At 37.3% G+C, this 21,345-nt stretch overlaps 1 protein-coding gene across 32 annotated transcripts in view; it reads left to right on the top strand.

The window, feature by feature from the left end:
- Nucleotides 1-21,345, top strand: part of ATOSA (atos homolog A) — a 128,495-nt gene that overhangs the window by 72,369 nt on the left and 34,781 nt on the right. The gene's annotated exons all lie outside the window — the stretch shown is intronic.

Genomic DNA, 21,345 nt, shown 5'->3' with positions numbered 1-21,345 from the left:
AACTTAAGAGGACGAGCAAATTTGGGGTTGGGAGAGCAGAGCTAGGAGTACGAAATGATGTTGGACTTCATGAATGCTACATGTATGTATCATTTTTCTTTTCCTTTTATTCCTCATTCTTTTGTCTTAATTTTCTCCCTTTTTCTCCTGCCCCCCAACTTGACTTCACCGTGCCATAGAACAGAAGATTTCTTTTTTCTCTTTTGGGGTAAGACTGATAATTCAGTCTTTGATGTACTTCACTTCTAATCATCATAACAATTAAAGCCCATAGGACTTTGATGTTTAACAGCAAACAAAAATGATAAATACATGTAGCATTCACGAAGTCCTACATTTCCTACTCCTACCCCTGCTCTCCCAATCCCAAATTTATTCTTCCTCTTAAGTTTCCCTTAGTAAGGTGGTTGGATAGTTACTGTAATTGCTAGGAATTCAAGGTACCATTTCTCCAACTGAGTGCCAACCAGAAGTACATACACACAATAATTGGTAGTGGAATACAGTACCACACTATTAATCTGAGCATGCATCCCCAAATTCCCCAAGTGTAAAACTTCTGGAAACCCCAGTTTATTCCTGTTACTCCCTCTTTATTAACTGAGAACACCTAGCTCTACATGCAGGCCCCACCATGCCTGCAGGAATCTAGAGCTAAGGGCAAGACCACTTCCCCTGAGTTTCAGGAAAGAATAGCAAAGATGGACTCAAATTCCTGGTTTTTGTTTATCCTTGAATATTAATCAGCTCAGCCTGCCATAACAAAATACGATAGACTGGGTGACTTAAACCACAGAAATTTATTTTATCATAGTTCTGGAGTTTGGGAAGCCCAAGATCAAGATGCCAGCTGATTTTATTTCTAGTGAGGCACTCTTCCTGGCTTGCTTGCATGGCCTCTATGTGAGCCTTCATCTTTTAAGATAATATAAAGAATATAACATTTCTTTATATTCCCAGTTGTACGGGATTAGGACCCTGTTGGTGTAACCCCATTTGATCTTAATTACCTCCTAAAAGCCCTGTCTCCAACTACAGTCCCCTTTGAGGGTTAGGACTTCAACATATGAGTTTTGGAAGGGACACAATTTAGCCCATAGCACTTGGTAACCTCATTTCAGAGTAAAGGGTGGTGCAATGACTGTTAAAATCACCAGTCATTTACTTTCCAAATATTTTGAGGTTTTCCAGATATCTCTTACTGATTTCTAATTTAATTCCATTGTATTTGGAAAACATACTTTATGATTTAAATCCTTATTTTTATTTTATTTATTTATTTATTTTTATTATTTATACATTTATTATTTTAATATATATTTATTAAATTTATTATTTTAATTTAATATTTAATTTTATTATTTTAATTTAATATTTTAATTTAATTTAATAAATTTATTAATAATATATATTTATTATTTATATATTTATTTATTATTTGACAGAGTGAGATAGATTCTCACTCTGTCACCCAGGCTGGGGTGCAGTGGTGCAATCTTGGCTCAATGCAACCTCCCCTGCCCCCGGGGTTCAAGCAATTCTCCTGCCTCAGCCTCCCAAGTAGCTGGGATTACAGGCGCCTGCCACCGCACCCAGCTAATTTTTGTATTTTTAGTAGAGATGGGGTTTCACCGTGTTGGCCAGGCTGATCTTGAACTCCTGACCTCGTGATCCACCCACCTTGGCCTGTGAAAGTGCTGGGATTACAGGCGTGAGCCACTGTGCCTGGCCGATTTTGATTTATTTTTTTTGAGATAGGATCTCACTGTGTTGCCCAGGCTGAAGTGCAGAGGCACAATCCTAGCTCACTGCAGCCTCAAACTCTCAGGCTCAAGCTATCCTCCCACCTCAGCCTCCCAAGTAGCTGGGACTGCAGGCTCACATCACTGAGCCTGGCTAATTTTGTGTGTGTGTGTGTAGAGGCAGGGATCTTATTTTGTTGTCCAGGTTGTTCTTGAACTCCTGAGCTCAAGTGGTCCTCCCACTTCAGCCTCCCAAAGTGCTGGCATTACAGGTGTGAGCCACTGCACCTTGTGTAAATTCTTTTGAATTTATTGAGACTTGTTTCATGGCTCAGAATATGATCTATCATGGTAAATGTTTTGTGTGCATCTGGTAAGGATCTACATTCTGCTTTTGATGGTGGAGTGTTTTATAAATGTCAAGTCAAGTTTTCTATATTTTTAGTGATCCTTTGTTAATTGTTCTATTGATTACTATTGAAAAAGGGTATGTTGAAACCTCCAGATAAAATTGTGGGTGTTTCTATTTCTCCTTAAAATTCCATTGGTCTTTGCTTCGTACATTTTGAAGCTATGTTGTTAGGTGCATAAATGTTTAGGGCTGTTATACGCCCTTGGTGATTGGCTTTTTTATCATTATAAAGTAGACCTCATCACTAGCAATATCACTTTTTTCTGAAATCTATTTAATGTGGTATTAATATAACCATTCCAGCTTTCTTTTGATTAGTGTTAGCATGGTATATCTTTTTTTAACCTTTAACTTTTAACCTATTATTTCTTTATATTCAAAATTGACATCTGGCCAGGCACCATGGCTCACACCTGTAATCCCAGCACTTTGGGAGGCCAAGATGAGCGGATCACCTGATGTCAGGAATTTGAGAGCAGCCTGACCAACATGGTGAAACCCCGTCTCTACCAAAAATACAAAAATTAGCTGGGCATGGTGGCATGTGCCTGTAATCCCAGGTGCTCGGGAGGCTGAGGCAGGAGAATTGCTTGAACCCATAAGGCAGAAGTTGCAGTGAGCCGAGATCGCGCCACTGCACTCCAGCCTGGGCGACAGAGCAAGACTCTGTCTCAAAAAAAAAAAAAAAGAAAAGAAAAATGGACATCTTTTAAGTCATATATAGTTGTGTCTTGCTTTTTAAAAAAAAAAAATCTAATCTCACAACGTCTGCCTTTTAATAAGATGCTTATACCATTCACATTTAAGGTTATTGTTGATATAGATGGGCTTAAATCCGCTATTTACAATTTTATTTGTCCCATCTTTCTTGGTGCCTTTTTCACTCTTTTTCTTTTTTCCTCGCTTTGTCACCCAGGCTGGAGTGCAGTGGTGCAATTTTGGCAAGCGAGTCTTCTGTCTCAGCCTCCCAAGTAGCTAGGATTACAGGCTTACACCACCATACCTGACTAATTTTTGTATTTTTAGTAGAGACAATTTCAACATGTTGGCCAGGCTGGTCTTGAACTCCTGACCTCAGGTGATCCGCCCAGCCTGGCCTCCCAAAGTGCTGGGATTACAGGCATGAGCCACCATGCCTGGCCCCTTTTTCATGCTTTTTCTGACCTCTTTAGATTTTTTTTAAATTCTATTTTATCTCATTTGTTAACTTCTTAGTTATACCTCTTGGGTTTTGTTTTGTTTTTTACTACTAGTTACTTTAGGGTGCACATTATTTTTAACTTGTTATAGGCTACCTCCAAGCAATATTATGCCACTTTGTGTATAGTATAAGAACCTTCCATTTCACCTTCTTTGGGCCTTTATGCTATTGTTATGCATTTTATATCCAGACTGTTATAAATCCCACAATGCATTGTGATTATTTTTCCTTTAATTATATTTAAGAGTGATTTTAAAACTGAGAAAAAATTATATTTACCTATATGATTTTGTGATTTCCAGTGTTTTTGTATAGATATAGATTCTCAGATGTTATTTTCCTTCTGTCAGAAGAACTTCCTTTAACATTTTTGGTAGGGAAGGTCTGCTAATAGTGATTTTTTTTCAGTGTTTTGATGTCTAAAAAAGCATTCTGCTTTGGTTTTTTAAATCTAATTGATGGGATTTTTTTTTCTTTCACTGCTCTCCATTTCTCTGGCGCTTGCTTTCTGTGTGCTACTGTCTCCTCTTCAATGCTTTAACTGTTTAGAACCTCCCCTTCTCTTTCTTTTGCCACTAATTTAGGGAGACTGCTGGCCTCTATGTGGCTTTCCCAGTGCTTCAGCCTGGAAACTTGCTCCAGACAGTAAGGTGGGGCAGTTGTTGGGCTCACCTGTTTATTTCCCCACCTGGGATAACAGTCCTGTCCTGTCTGCTGGCCAGTGTCTGAAAACAGTTCTTTTATATATTTTGAGTGGTTTAAAGTATAAGAATAAATTAGATCTGTTACTCTGTCCTGGCTGAAAACAGCCCAGTGATTTTCAAAGTCAATTAGCCACCCCACCAGCCTTGTGGAAAAATTCATAAAAGGAGTGAATATAGAAATCAGGTTTTCCCTCCAGCCTATCACCTAGTAGGAAGATAAGGCTTATGGTAAAGTCCTGTCCTCTCTATGTATACAGGCCCAACCTGAGTAAAGAGAAAAGCTTCCCTTCTCCCCTAATACATATCATTCCCATTTCATAAATGAAGAAATGAAGTAACATGCCTGTACTTGCTCTGATTGGACTTACTAGATCTTACTCCCTTCTTTGTAAAATTGAATTCTACAGTGAATGTTTTACTTACTGCAGTTACAAAACAGTTATTAAAGGACAATTTTATTTTCAAATCTTTGCATGAATTTTAGTTATCACTTTTCCTTGGCCATCAGTTATGTTATATATAATCCCATTTCATTTCTTAAAGGGGGAAGATTTTATGCTTCATGGCATTCCTTGAATAAAATACATTATGAATGAAATACTTCATGAAATCAATAATTTCATAATTTATATTCTGGTCCTTTGTATAAAATCTTTGCTAAGAATGTCTTCTGACCATATGGAGAAGTATGTTTATAGTCATTTTTAAAATATACTTGTCAACTACACTGGGCTTGCTATTTAAAGGTCAAATACTAACCGAAAACTAATTAATAATTCCTATCATAGCAAAGTGTGCCAAAAATCAAAGGGCAGAGTCCTTTTTCCTCATACATTTCTTAGGGGTAAGAATTATTATTTCACCTTTCCCAGAGTTACTCAGTATTTGGATTTATGCCTACTTGATCAAAAAGCCTATTCTTTTCTCCTAATTATGCTACACTGTTTCACCATCACAGTTCCATAGAAAAGTATCAGATTTCAGTATTTCAGGTTTAAAATTAGTTATAATTTTGGAATCTTATTTAACCCTTAATAAAATTAACTTTTATGGTATTATTTATTTAAACCAACAGAAGAAATTATTATAAGCAACATGGTTCTCAAGCAATAGATCATCTCTTACTAGAGAAATAAGGATTAAGAGAACTACTTGCTTAAGTTGTAGTCAATATTTTATGTTCACTAAATTGAGGCACTGTAACTTTTGAACAGTATCATGAACTAAAATTCAGATGAAATTAGTCTTTTCCACTTTAAGATGTTTTTAGTTAATGGGTATACAGCTACCTTCCTATAATGAAGGAAAACTTATTTAAGAAATACTGTCTGGTCAGGTGCAATGTAATCCCAGCACTGTCAGCCTACACCTGTAATCCCAGCACTTTGGGAGGCTGAAGCTGGAGGATCGCTTGAGGCCAGGAGTTTGAGACCAACTTGGGTAACATAGCAAGGCTCCTGTCTCTACAGAAAAGTTTAAAAAAATAGCTGGGCATGATGGCGCATTCCTGTAGTCCTAGCTACTTGGGAGCCTGAGGTAGAAGGATCACTTGAGTCCAGGAGTTTGAGGTTACAATGGGACTGCCTATTCAATTTCAAAACACACTTTGAACCATGCAATTTCTTGGGTTAGCATTGTGTTTTAGAACACTTTAGTTATTTGTCCAGCCAACGAGGAAATCTAACTTTTCGTCAGTAGCTTTCAGTTTGAGTGTTAAATTCGAGATATGTTGCTTGCTTTAAAACTTGTTTCTTACATTAAAAAATGTAAAATGCATTCTAGAAATTATATATATATGGCAAACTAATTTGCCATAACACATAGGCGTAGGTGTTTGTCCTATTACTTGGATTTATCAGCTCTGTATCCTTTGGAAAGTTGAACAATATTGTAAGTTGAATATTGTCTTTTTTCCCTTTATACCATAATTCTTCACCTTAATATTTTCATCAACTCATAAAATCTTAAAGTTGGAAGACTTTTTTTAAGAAGTGGTGTACTTTGATAGTTAAAGTAACCTAGAACAAAAGAGGTTAATATGGGAGAATGTGGACCTCATGAAATCCAGCACAGTGCTTATTTTTCACTAACTAGTACCACCTTACAAACAGTGAGACCTAGGCAAGAGTGAGATGTGCAGAATTCCCAGACTTCAGTTTTCCACATACATGCTGAAATTTTAAAAACAGGTTTATTTTGTCATACATGAGACAATGTGAATTTTTTAAAATTATGAAGCATATCATAGCTACAAAGAGCATATACATTAAAGATGGTTTAGAGAACAGCAAAATGACCTCCCATGCAGTTGCTACTCAGCTTGAGAAGCAGAACCTTGTGTGCTGACTCCTGTGTTCCTCTCCTCAGGTACATCCCCAAAATATCCACTGTTCTGAATTCTGTGTTGTCTCTTTTAAAATATTTTATCACATATATAACCATAAACTATGTTGTTTAGCTTGTTTTTTAAACTTTTATGCAAATAGAATCATCCTATAGTGTTCTACAACCTGTATGTAGCTGTAGGTTATTATTCTTGTACTTACGTTTACTCCTGTATCCCATTATATGAGTGTATCACAGCATTCATTCTATGGACGATAAACACTTGTTTTTTCCAAAATTTTGTTGTTATAGACAGTGCTTCTTTGAACATTCTTATATTAGTCTCCTAGCATACATGTACAAGATTTTCTCTAGGTTATTTACCTAGGAGAGTAATTGAGTTGTAGAGTATGTACTTCTTAACTAGGTAATGCCAGGTTATTTTTGAAAGTGTTTGCACCAGTGTGTACCTTTACTAGCAGTGTATGACCACTTCTGTTGCTCTATACCTTTAGCAATATTTAGTCAATTTTCCTGCACAATCCTTTGAATGTGAAATCATATGTAATTGTAGTTTTAATTTGTATTTTGCAATGATTAAGGAGTTCTACATCTTATATTCATTAACCTTTCAGGATTCTTAGGTGAAATATTCTAGATATTCATCTTTTGTCAGCATTTGCATTGCAAATATTTTCTTTGTTTTTGGCATGTCTTCTCAGTCTCTGTGGTGCCTTTGGTGTAGCACTTCATCTTCCTTAGTCCATAGGAACCTTCGTAATGCCTGTGGTTTAATAAAGACAAGTAACTCTGAACTTTCAACAACCAACTTGGGAAACAAAGTTGTAGAACATTAGTTTTTAGAAATTTGGGGCTACTTTTAAGCTATATTTATAGGAGTGCTAGTAGAACACATGTGAGGAATACAGGGAGGCCTACTTTGGGATGTTTGAAAGATGGGAGTCTGGGAAAAGAACTTGTTCAGAACACACAGGAAACAAAAGTACAGTAATGACTTTCCTTAGGTACCCCACCACCACCAACGTCCTGCCCTAACCTGTTGAACTTCCTCTAGCTCTAATTTTACTCTATTGTATACAAATATTTTTTGTTTTTTGTCTTATTTTCCTGCTGTATATTGTTTCTACTTCATTTGTTTTGTTTCTCCCTGCTGCTTCCCCAATTCTGTCTTCATTTTGATTTCAATTCTTAATTACTTATCCTTCTAGTCTTTTCTTTTTTTTTATTTTTTAATTTTTTTTAGATGGAGTCTTGCTCTGTTGCCCAGGCTGGAGTGCAGTGGCACAATCTCAGCTCACTGCAACCTCTGCCTCCCGGGTTCAAGCGATTCTGCTGCCTCAGCCTCTCGAGTAGCAGAGATTACAGGTGCCCGCCATCAGGCCCAGATAATTTTTGTATTTTTAGTAGAGACAGGATTTCACCATGTTGGCCAGGCTAGTCTCGAACTCCTGAGCTCATGATGTGCCCTCCTCAGCCTGCCAAAGTGCTGGGATTACAGGCATGAGCCACGATGCCTGGCCTTTTTTTTTTTTTTTAACTACCCTTACCTCCACTGAGGATTTTTAGGGCATGAAAGGATTCCGTATGATACTCTCATGGTGGATACATGTCATTAACATTTTTCCAAACCCAGAAAATGTATGACATCCTGAGTGAACCCCAAGATAAACTATGGACTTTGAGTGATTATGATGTGTCAGTGTAGGTTCATCAAGTGTAACAAATATACCACTCTTTTGAGGTTGTTCATAATCGAGGAGGCCACACAGGTATTGGGGAGGGGGTATAATCTCTACTTGCCACTCAGTTTTGCTGTAAACTTAAAACTGCTCTTAAAACGTCTTTATATGACCTCTAACGTGATATTGAATTTTTTAAAAAACCTTTAGTTAAAAGCAATCCAAAAAAACTCTTAACTCCACAAAAAATGACTATGTTTGGATTATTAAGCAGCCAGGAAGGGAATATGGACACTTATAGATTGAAGGCTTTCTGTAATTAAGAATTTGAATTGGCGAGGGCAAGATGTTTGTTATGACAGCTAATTTTAGTCTTCTGGGAAGAGAATGGCCCTTCAGGATTGTATAAAGGAGAAGATTTACCTTCCTTAGCTTCAGATTTTTGTGGTCTAGAAAATATATTTGTTAACAATTGAGTGAAAAATTAAGTAGTTGCATAAAATAGATGGAAATTTCTTTAATGAAGTCATCAATTGTACTATTATTAAAATAGAGTTTTTGTTTTGTGTTATACTTTCATGGCACTTCAGTTAAAATTATTTTAATGGAAGATACATAAAAACTAATCACATGACATATTCATTTCTTTGTCATGTAAGCTTTTAATCTATTCATAATATCATTTGAGGAGTTTAAATAACATTAAAAATATGCCTTTTTAAAAGTTTTGCTGTATCTAGGATAGTGTTTTTAAAAAACTATATCACATTGTAGTTTTTACATTACTGTAGTAAATAGTTATGGTAACAAATTCAGATTGACAGGTAATTACTGTTTTACATTTTGCAGTATTTACAAAAGTGAGAAAGGTATTAGTACCCATTTTATTACTTAGCTGTAATTGACTTAGAGAACGTCACAGAAAATCAGTGTGGCCTGAGTTCTGAGTACACAGCCCTGGCATGGCTCATATCAGAGGAGCATCTTCTGTGTTTCCAGAATTCTCTTAGGTTCTTTTTAAGTCTTTTATCTAGAAATACTTGGATTCTAACATTACTTAGATTTGTTGTTCCAAGAAGCTCAAAGGGCTTTATAAAATACTATTAGTCTTAAAATATCTAAAATCATTGACTGAATATTTTATATTGATTCTGTTCATAATCGTCTTAAGAGTGTGTGTGGGCCTGATACAATGTCTGCAGACATGAAGAACAGCATTAGATATATCTAAGAGACATTTTAGAGCACTGGAGAGAATTAAATTCCAAATTCCCACATGTCTCATCAGTCACTAAGCCTGCCTTTCTTTCCTTCATTTCCATTGGTGATTCTAGTTGTCCTAATCATTCACAATCGAGAATTAGCGATTAGAGAATTAGCCAAAGCTTTTCCTTTGGCTTCTGTGAGATTTAGTGTGATGAAATCTGCCTCTCAAAATTACATTAGATTGAGAGGGACCTACTTTTAGCATTTTGTTGAAGACACAATCAGATGGCAGAATTGGCTATTAAGTGGCATTATAAATTCTCTTAAGATACTGGTGGCTGAGGCCCAGGAACATACACGAATGTAATCATTTCAGTCCTGTGTGTGTTAACAACTCTTAATTAAAATCATTGTGAATAAGTTAAATTGTTTTTAAAAATCATAGTAAAATAAAAGCAAAAGCAAAAAAAAAAATGCATAAGCATTGCCTGATGTTCTGACCACCTTCAGTCTGACATTTTTTCTCCCTTAATGTAGGGCTGATAATCTGAGTTTTCCTGTCTTGTAATATGTGAATTCTTCAGTTGGTCATACTTCAACATAGATCAAAGTTGATCTACAAGTGCTAGTGCCTTTCAATAAGCTAAATCACTACACTTTTATGCCTGCTTTCATTTTGCTTATATATTTATTGAGTACTTGCTATGTGTCAAGCAGCGTCCTAGGCACTGGTAATAAAATGATGAATATTTAGACCTGGCCCCTGTACTAATAGAGTTTATAGTTGAGTTAGAGGCAAACAGGGCATTATAATAAGGTATTAATTGGAATTTAACTGAAATCAACGATTAGAAGTTGGCAGATTTTCAGTTTCTTCATTGAAAAATGTGCAGTTTGTGACAGGGTACTCTTAAATTGTCTACCCTTCTCCTTCCCTTCCCTCTTAGGTATTTTCTGACTCATTCACAGCCCTTCTTTTGCAACTTTGAAAGTATCAGGTTTAGAATTTGGGTGGCTCTGGCAGAGAGGAGTCTATCAAATATGGCTGACATTGAGAAAACACAACTAATGTTATGTCTCATTGACAAAAATAGGGGTCAGAGGGGTTGCATGGGCAGAGAAACAAAGAGCATTCCGGCAGGAAAGCAGAAAAGTGAACTGGAAAACCTAGTTAGAATTCATAGGAAAACTGGGATTGGGAATTAGATACCAACATGTTTTACAGTAAGGACATGAATCAAACCTCAAGAGGCTGAATAACTGTTACAGAATAGGCAACAAGAATGACCTTGACAGTAAACTGACAAATATCTAAGGCTTCATGTTCTCTCTGAACTCTGTCCATAATTCTTCCCTGAGCCACAATTGGAATTGAACTAATAACAGGGGTAGAGTTTGGCACACTGGATGAGATTTGGAAATAAATCCCCAAATTTCTGACATTTTCCCTACACAAGAGACGTAGGTTTAAGGCCCCCCTTTACCATTATGTTGCTGTGTATGCCTGAGCAAGTCACTTTACCTCTCTGAAGTCCAATTTCCTCACCTGTAAATTAATGAAAATATATCCTGAATTCCACAAAAAAACCAACTCTTGGCCATTCTCTCGCTCTCTTTTTTTTTTTTTCAGCTTTCCCTTATCTTTTCTCCCACAGAAGCTGCTTATTTCTCTTTGATGATAAAGGGATCAAGTTTAGTTTTAATTAACTCTAGGTGTTTTTTAATGCACAAAGGAGAACATTGAAACACTTTATTTATAACCAGATGTAACTGTACAGTTTTGCCATGCATTATAAGGATAATGTTTCCAAGTTGGATATCCTCTTGTTGTTTCTGGAACCACATGATCTAGACTTTTCCCGTAGTACTTAAATTGAGAGCTTTAAAAAGGAGAGACATGTGGAACAAAAGGAGTAACTGTCCGAATTCATGTAGTACCAATGGGTTTCAAGATGATCCTCCACTTACTGATAAAGTGTGTGGCCTTGGGCAAATGATTTTACAAATTTAGGATTCTGTGGGGAAAGAGAATCCTAATGGGGAAAGATGTATATCATAGCATTTAGTTTTATTTTAAATTTAACACTTATATGGCATACACTATGAGCCATGCAGCATTCTAAAAGTTACATAGATAATAACTCAGTCCCTGTAACTGCCCTCTGAAAGTTGATACTATTATCCCCATTTAATTAGGTGAAATACTGAGGAAAGAGATGTTGTGTAACTTGTACAAATCCAAACAACTAGCAAGTAGCAGAGCTGGTTGACAGACTTCAGAGTTGAGCCCTTTACTACTGCTCTATGCTGCTTCATGAGGACTAACTTGATAAAACAATTCACAACTCAGGTTGATGGGGATCATCTTTGTTTAATTGAATGTTTGGGTTTTACATGACAATTTAATAGCCAGTTTTCAAAGAGCTAGATGACTATAAAAACGTAACTTTTTTTTAAGATGGCACCTTATGATATTACAGTGTTTTAGTCATAATTTTGAACTTTGGTGTTTATTGTGTAGATGCAGAGCAGAGATACTTGGTTGAATTTAAACAAACCACACTCAAGTTCAGAAAATTGCTTTTAAAAGTCAGTCTGTGATAGATTTTTTACTTATAGTTGATAAGTTGATCACTTGTCTTTTTTCATAATAGAGTGTTGAGGAATAAAATAGTTTAAGTTTTGTTGTGGATTAACAAGACCAAGAATAAAGAGTATTTTCATATTAGAAAATACTGTTCTGTAGATGAGAATATTTATGTATAACTAATAATAAAATAATAGTGTACACATAAAATTGCTTTCACTTATAGCCGTGGTCACTCTTTTTCACACTTGTCACTAATGTCAACTTTGCCTCTTATTCTCTGCTTGAAGACTTTTCATGGTATATAAAATGACTTGTACTAGGTATTGAGAAACTTGAATTCTAGTTTGCTATTGCCTGGTTTCTAGTATATTATTTAAGCAAGGAAGTTGATGTCTTTGTACCTTATTTTCCTTATCTGGAAGTAAAGTAGGTTAGGTTAGGATGATTTCTAAGATTCTTTACAATTCTCACTTAAAACAGGTACACATGGCCAGGCACAGTGGCTCATACCTGTAATTCGAGCACTTTGGGAGGCCAAGACGGGTGGATCACTTGAAGTTAGGAGTTTGAGACCAGCCTGACCAACATGGTAAAACCCCATCTCTACTAAAAATACAAAAAATTAGCTGGGCGTGGTGGCAAGTGCCTGTAATCCCAGCTACTCTGGAGGCTGAGGCAGGAAAATCACTTGAACCCAGGAGGCAGAGGTTTCAGTGAGCCGGGATCGCACCACCACACTCCAGCCTGGGTGACAGAACAAGACTCCGTCTCAAAAAAAAAAAAAAATAAGCAGGTACACATATTCCTTTGAGACTGGAACACATAAATGAGAAGCCAAAAATATTTCAGTGATTGTGGAATTTAACCCATTAGTAGATGTACATCCATAGCATGTTAAGAATATTCTAAAGAAATGAATAGGTTGATATAACTATAGAGCTGTCAAATCGTGCTGAATTTTTCCTGAGGTGGTTCATTTGCATTGATCTGTCCTTTCCTTTTTCATGGTCACATTTGTGATTAATGCCCTAAGTTTTGGAGAAGTTTGGCTGAAGTTAACAGTACAGTCTGTCCATGGAACAGAGTGAAATTTACCCATGAGGAGGTGAAATTCATGACCTTTGGTTGGTACACTAACACCCTACAGTAACCATTTATAGCCTAGATGGCTTCTGTAAATTCTGGGGAAGAGAACAAAGTAAGTCAAAGATCAGTGTGGAAAGGAGTTAGGAATGGGCTTTCTCATGGAAAAGATTGGCAGTCCAGAAAGCTTTGGGTTGGTGGAAAGGAGAGGAGGAAGTCATGCTTGATAGGTTAAAAACAAAAACAAAAACAAAAACGTTTAAGCTCAAGAGGATTGTAATGGAATGGCTTTTTGGGAAGATTAATCTGTATTAGGATTCAAGATGGATAAGGAGATGCCTAGAGTCCTAGACAATAGCTAGGAAACTTGTAGTAATTCAGGTATAAAATAATAAGAACCTAACTAGGTAACTGTTTTGGGGATAAAAAGCAAGAGTTTAATTCCAAGGAAAATTTAAAACAAATTAAAATTTAGTAATTTCAGGATTATACAGGAGAATCTCCTACCATTTGTGCCATAGACTTAGAAGAGAAGCAGTTAAAACTTCTTTTAGTCTCATTTTGAGATTTGGAAATAATTCTCTGTGAGTGATGATATTGCATATTTAATACTTTTCTAGAAAGGGCTGTTGTATTACATGAATGCCCATTGTGTTAAGACAAGACTAAGTAAGTAGACTTTTGCATTTATCGTTTATACTCTTCAGAATAATTGACAGTATATGTCACATTTGTCTTATCTTCCATCATCACCATCTACTGAGCTCACTATTTTCAAGGTCACCAATGACTTCCTTATTGTCAAATTCAATGGTCACTTCTTTGTTTATATTTTATTAAACCTTACCAGTGTTTGAGACCATTGACCATGCACTCCTGGAAACTTCCTATTCTCTCAAGGCTTCCATTATACCAGCCTGTAATCCAGCTCCTTTTGCTGTTCGTCGTCTTCTAATTGTTGGAGTCCCCCAGGGCTCTGTCATGAGTTCCCTGCTCTCCTCTATCTACATATTCCTCTAGGTAACTCTTGATTCTAAATACTATCCAAATGCGTGCGATCCCCAAAACTATACCTACAACCCTGGACAACTATAATAACCTCCTAATTAGTATAGCTACTTTCATTCTTTCCCCCTATTCTTTTATCCACATAGCAGCCAGGGTGATCATTTTTAAATGTACATTTTAAAATGTAAATGCATTTCTCTAGTTAAAACCCTCTAATGGCTCCCCATTCCATTTAGAATAAAATCTAAACTTTCTGTCCTATTTTCGAAATCCTATATGATCTGGTCCCTGACCACCTTTCTAAACCTTTTTTTTTTGACACGGAGTCTCACTCTGTTGCCCAGGTGGGAGTACAGTCGTGCAATCATAGTTCACTGCAACCTTGAACTCCTGGGCTCAAGCAGTCCTGCTGCCTCAGCCTCCCAAGTAGCTGTAACCACAGGCACATGTTACACACCTGGCTTTATTTATTTATTTATTTATTTATTTATTTATTTATTTATTTATTTATTTATAATAGGGACAGTGTCTCACTGTGTTGCCCAGGCTGGTCTCAAACTCCTGGGCTTAAGCAATCCACCCATCTTGGTTTCCCAAAGTGTTGGGATTACGGGTGTGAGCCACCATGCCTGACTAAACGTCCATCTCTTGCTGCTTTCCCTCTCTCCCCACTGCAATTTCAGCCTCATTCACCTTCTAGTTCCTGGGATTTGACCCATTCGTTCCTACCTTTGACACTGCTCAGAATGCTCTTTCCCCTAATTTTTGAATGGCTAGCTCCTTGTCATTCAGATCTCAGCTGAAATGTTACCTGCTTCAAAAAGCCCTCCTTAACCACCTGATATAAAGCATTGCCATAATCATTCTCATATCACATCATCCTTTTTATAATTATGGCATAGTACTTAGCATCTGATAGTTTATTAATTTGTTTTTGTTTTTCTGTGTCATCACAACAATATAAGCTCCAAGCCCCAGTGTCTACGAAAGTGCCTGGAACCTGGTAGTTGTATGGTATTTGTTAAATAAATGAAGTCTACATAGTGGTTATGTTAACTGAGAGTCCCATTCTTTGAGCATAACCTCTTGCACTAATTCTTAATATCCATTCTCAGATGCCTCAACTCATTACCATGTGTTTCTCATATGGAATCTCACTGAGATTCCAGTTCTTACCTAATTTTTTAAACATTTGTTTTTAAAAAGAAAAAGTGTTTCAGATACTAAGTTCCAATTTCTCAATACCAGAACCAGTATACTGTTACCTGTGTGTGTCTTCACAAATGCCAGTATAAAGTAACCAAACTATGACCTACTTTAAGAAATAGTAGGCCAGGCGCAGTGGCTCATGCCTGTAATCCAGCACTTTGGGAGGCCGAGGTTGGTAAATCACTTGAGGTCAGGAGTTCGAGACCACCCTGGCCAATATAGTGAAACCCCATCTCTACTAAAAATACAAAAATTAGCTGGACATGGTGGAGCGCACCTGTGATCCCTACTCAGGACGCTGAAGCAAGAGAATTGCTTGAACCCCATAGGCAGAGGTTGCAGTGAGTCGAGATCATGTCATTGCACTGCAGCCTGAGCGATAGAACAAGACTGTGTCTCAAAAAAAAAAAAAGAAAAAGTAAGTATGTTAGTGTATTCTCATGCTGCTAGTAAAGACATACCCAAGACTGGGTAATTTATAAAGAAAAAGAGGTTTGATGGACTCACAGTTCCACATGGCTAGAGAGGCCTCACAATCATGGCAGAAGGTGAAAGGCACATCTTAAGTGGCAGCAAGCAAGAGAGAGTGTATGCAGGGGAACTCCGCTTTATAAAACCATCAGATCTCATGAGACTTAATGAGACTTACTCACTCTCACAAGAACAGAATGGAAAAACCCACCCCCATGGTTCAATTACCTCCCACTGGGACCCTCCCATGACACGTGGGGATTATTACAATTCAAAGTGGGATTTGGGTGGGGACACAGCCAAACCATATTAGTAGAGGTTACAAAAAGTAATAACTCTGATTAATTAAAAATATATGACACTGGGACTGCTTTTATTACATATTATTTTTCAGTTAATAGGAGTTACTTATGCTAGTCAGAGAATAGTGGTTTATTTACAATTTAGTATGTGGGATTATGTGTTTGCTTTATGGGACTGATAATATTTTGTTGTATGTATGTCTGTGCTTATATATGCTTGTGATTCCACAGATACATAATCATAACATTGTTATTAAACATTAGGGTTTTACTTATATTGTAGATATGTTTCCTTGTCAAAAGTAGGTATGTCATTATTTTAGATCTAACTGGACCACAGTATATTTAACCAGTCTCATATTGTTGAATATTTAGGTTGATGCCAATTTTTTTAAGTTGGTATAAATGTTTTCATAAACATCCTTGAACATTTGGCCAGGTGTACTTGTCCTGTTATTTCCTGGGGATAAATTCATAGAAGGAGAATTTTTATTCACAATACTCGATTGCGCATCATGAAGTAAAAAGGACACTTTTTATTTTTATTTTATTTTTTTGAGACAAAGTCTCACTCTGTTGCCCAGGTTGGAGTGCGGTGTCACAATCCCAGCTCACCGCAGCCTCAACCTCCAGGCTCAAGTGATCCTCCTTCCTCTGCCTTCCAAGTAGCTGGGACTGCAGGCACATGCCACCACACCGGCTAATTTTTGTAGAGATGAGGTTTTGCCACGTTGCCCAGGCTGGTTTGAATTCCAGAGCTCAAGCAATCAGCCTGCCTCAGCCTCCCAATATGCTGGGATTACAGGCATAAGCCACTGCACCTGGCTGGACATTATTTTTAGATAAACTTTCTTAGTAGCAATTCCCCAAGTTGTTCCCACGCCTCTTCCATGTTAATCCATGGCATAAGAGGCCTAGACTCCTTCTCCTTCTCTGGCAGGCTTTAGAAATAAACAGCATATATAACAGCCTAGCAATGGGAAAGACACTCTTCTTCCACTCCCATTGAAGTAGATTTGAGCCATCCTGCTTTGTTTGCTTTTTTCCTAAATCAAGAAATGTGTGTGTATAATGAGTAGTGCTTCAGCTGGGCTCCTGGTTAGAGTCTCTCAAGGAGTTAGTGGTTCTGGTCTCTCTCCTGTGGTTTTTCTGGAGAACAAAGAATAAATTCTCAGAGTTGGAAAAAACCTGAGAACAAGCCTAATTGAACCTCTCGCTTACATAAATCTCTTCAGCCACACCCTGGCAAGTGTTTATCAAACTTTGCTTGAACACCTCTAGCAATGAAGAATTTACTTCTTAGTCTATTTTGTCTACGGATCACCCCAGTTGTTCAAAGTTTTCCCAATGGCTAAGTTGTTCACTTTTCTCGATGGACAGAACAGGTGGGGAATTTTAAGAAGCTGCTACACTCCAGAACCAGAAGAGCATGCAAAAGCAGTCAGTCTGATCATAGCTCCTAGACAACCTGGTGCAAGCACAATCCTCATTGAGGTCTTAGGTAGGGACCCCCAGAACTGTGTTTTCATTGGTTAATCACCGGTGTCCAGTGATCTGTCCTTCATAGCCTGTGAAAATTTATAACATCCTTTCTGTTCTCTTCAATATTATATTTTATGTCAAATAATTTATTTTTCTTTTCTTTTCTTTTCTTTTCTTTTTTTTTTAAGACAGTCTCTCTGTCACCCAGGCTGGAGTGCAGTGGTGCAATCTCAGTTCACTGCAACCTACACCTCCTGGGTTCAAGTGATCTCCCATCTCAGCCTCCCAAGTAGCTGGGATTACAAGCATGCACCACCATCCTGGCTGATTTTTGTATTTTTAGTAGAGACAGGGTTTCACCATATTGGTCAGGCTGGTCTCGAACCCCTGACCTCAAGTTGATCCACCTACAGGAGTGAGCTACAGGAGTGAGCCACCACACCTGGCCAAATAATTTATTTATTCTAACATGTAACTGGTAAGAAGGCCTAGCAGTTCATATTTGTCTAGATTTGAAACATTTTTTGTGTTTTTTTTCTTGTAAAAGTAGACTTTTTCAGATGCTCTAAAATCAAACTTTATTTCTAGTGTGAGCTACGTCCTCAAAATATCAAGTTAGATCTATTGAATTCTCTTTAGCCTGACATATTTCCCAAAAATTAGTCATATTCTTCAGTAAACTTTGCTGTTGTGTTTAGAGGTTGACATTATAAAAATTTTAATGATGTAACTTTTCTTTAAAAAAATTTTTTACTGCCAATTTTCAAGTACAATCTATAACAATGTAACTGTTCTGAGGACTACTATGATTTAGTATTCTCGTTTATTAAAATTAGACATTCTTGACAAATTTCTAAAAGTTGTCACCACATATCACTTGTACTTAGGTAATATTTTATGTGTTTCAAAATACCATTGTATAATCCATAGTATTCCTTTCAATACTTATGTAATAGTTACATTGGTAATTAACAGATAACTAGTATCATCTCTAATCTTTTGTTTCAAATTTTTCATTTAAACATTTAACACACTAAGTTCAGTAAGTCATCTGAGGGATTGCAAACTCCAGTCATGGTTTTGAAGTTTGTTTAGTTTACCTCCCACAGAGACAATGACCAAAGCAACCAAATTTTAGTCCAATGTTACATTATTTAAAAGTGGCTTGGGGCAGTGGCTCACACCTGTAATCCCAGCACTCTGGGAGGCCAAGGTGGGAGAACTGCTTGAGGCCAGGAGTTTGAGGTTAAAGTGAGCTATGATCACGCCACTGCACTCCAACCTGGGCAACAAAGCAAGACCCTGTCTCTAAAAAAGAAGAAGAAGAAGAAGAAAATACTTTTTTTAACAGTTCAGTTTTTATCACTTTAAACTTGATAATTCCTACTGCAAGAGTTAGCCACTCCCTGCTAGGAGCTTTGTAGATGTATTACAGTTTTGCAGGCATAAGGATAACAAGTCATAGAGTCCTGGTAATACCTCTTTCTTTCACTCTCTCATTGCACTTTCCCCACCCTCTTCCCCACTTTGTATGTCCTTTCCTAATCTAACCTGTTAGTTTTGCATAATTTTGTCAGCTGCAGAAATGATCAGGTGCTCTTTAGGATATGTACAGTGGTAGTGTTTAAAAAGTAGTTTTAAGAGACATCCTTGTTAAGAGTGAAGAAAAATTGGGCCAGGCGCAGTGGCACACACCTGTAATCCCAGCCCTTTGGGAGGCCGAGGCAGGTGGATCACGAAGTAAGGAGATCGAGACCATGCTGGCTAACACGGTGAAACCCCGTCTCTACTAAAAATACAAAAAAATTAGCCAGACGTGGTGGTAGGTGCCTGTAGCCCCAGCTACTCAGGAGGCTGAGGCAGGAGAATGGCGTGAACCTGGGAGGCAGAGCTTGCAGTGAGCTGAGATTGTGTCACTGCGCTCCAGCCTGGGCGACAGAGTGAGACTCCATCTCAAAAAAAAAGGAAAAATTGATGAGGGGAATGATGAGTTTTTAGCCAGGCTTTGGTACACGGTATTTGGGGAGATCATATACATTAATGCTCTGGTTAGAGGCCTGCAGATGGGTCATGGTTGATTCCAAGGTGATAATGCAGAGGTAGTCAGTCAATTATGTGTTACAATTATGTGGATTTGGATTTAAAAGAATTATGGGCTCTCTTACAAGTTAATTTTACATCTTTTATTATTATATATAAATTAGTAATAAATTATATAAATTATTTGTATATAATAAATTATTAATAAATAAATATTTAAATAAAATTTATTTATTCAAAAGTAGAGACTATATAATGTGAAAAATAAGAGTAAAAGCTACATTGTATGAAGCTAAGTTTGTTTTAAAAGTTATATACATGCTTAAAATAAGGCTATAAAATTAACAATAGGTATCTCTGAAAAATGAGTTATTTTTGTCTTACTCTCTGAATTTTATAAATTTCTCACTAAATGTGTTACTTTTTAATTTCAAAATCATTATTTAAATTTTGAAATAGTCACATTTTTGGAAAGTTTTATTTTCCCCGATGTTTTAGTGTGCTCAGGCTGCCATAAAATACCATAGATTTGGGTGGCTTAAACAATGGAAATTTATTTTCTCACAGTTCTGAAGGCTGGAAGTCCAAGATCAAGGGGCCAGCATGTTCAGGTCCTGGTGAGAGCTCTCTTCCTGGCTCACAGACAGCTGCCTTCTCCCTGTGTGCTCATGTGGCCTTTCCTTGAAGAGAAAAAAAGCAAGAAGGAGACACATGTGGCCTGGGGGAGGTGGGGGAAAGCAGGGAGAGAGGAGATCACTTTCTCTTCTTTTAAAGCTACATGCGTTACCACCCTTATGACCTCATTTAACTATAATTACCTCCTAAAAGCCTTATTTCCAAATAGAGTCACAGTGCCAGTTAAGGCTTCAACATATGAATTTCAATTCAGCCCATCACTCAATAATTCTCATTTATAGACTAGCAATTTTTTTTATTTTTGATGATTGTCTTCTCTAATTTCATAACAATATACTTTAGTTACTAGTCAAGGTGCTTTTGATTACAAACAATTCACTCAACAAGCTTAAAGGAATTGATTGCTAGGGATACAGAGTTCTGTCTCAGTAGGTTTATGAGGGACTGGAACATTGTCAGGAATCAGGCAACTACTTTTTCTGGCTTTCTATGTCTACAAAGTCTCTTGTTTCTCTCATTCACTATATAGCTTATTTCATTCTCTTTGCTGTTCCATGCCCATGGCAGTCTATGGTCATTGCATAGCTCCTGGGTGTACATTGCCTCAGTTTAAGTCATAGCAGACGGGGACAAACCAACATCTCTGAATCCTAACTCCAGTGTCCTGGGAAATAGACTGACCCAGGATGGGTCAGGTCCCCACTTTGAATCAATTGGCTTTGTTGGGGTTGGGGAACAGGGTCACACTTTTATATATACATGTAAATAAAGACAGGGTCTCCCTATATTGCCCAGGCTGGTCTTGAACTCCTGGGCTCAATGGATTCTCTTGCCTCAGCCTCCCAAAATGCTAGGATTACAGGCATGAACCACCACTTCCAACCAGGGGTCACACAACTTAAAGAAGGCTGCCGGTGTTCACTCTTGGCAATGGCCACTGTTAAAATCTTGCTCTATGTGATCTTCCTAAAGTTCTTTCAGACAACTGGGTAGATGTTACTTTCATTTAACAGAAGAAAACATTCAGTGACTTGTCTCAAGCAACACGTCACTACCGTAGAACCCTTCCTCACCACTGTCTTCACCACATACCCCTTAGAACCTTTCATCACCACTGTCTTCCACCACATACCCCTACTCAACTACTGGCCACCTGTCTGTGCTCTTATAACATAGACTGCTAACGTCTGTACGAGTGGTTATCACAGTACGTTATAATATGTATTTGGTTGTT

Source organism: Homo sapiens, chromosome 15 (genome assembly GCF_000001405.40).
Source record: "Homo sapiens chromosome 15, GRCh38.p14 Primary Assembly".
Classification (NCBI taxonomy): domain Eukaryota; kingdom Metazoa; phylum Chordata; class Mammalia; order Primates; family Hominidae; genus Homo; species Homo sapiens.
This window is presented reverse-complemented; position numbering and strand designations above follow the sequence as displayed.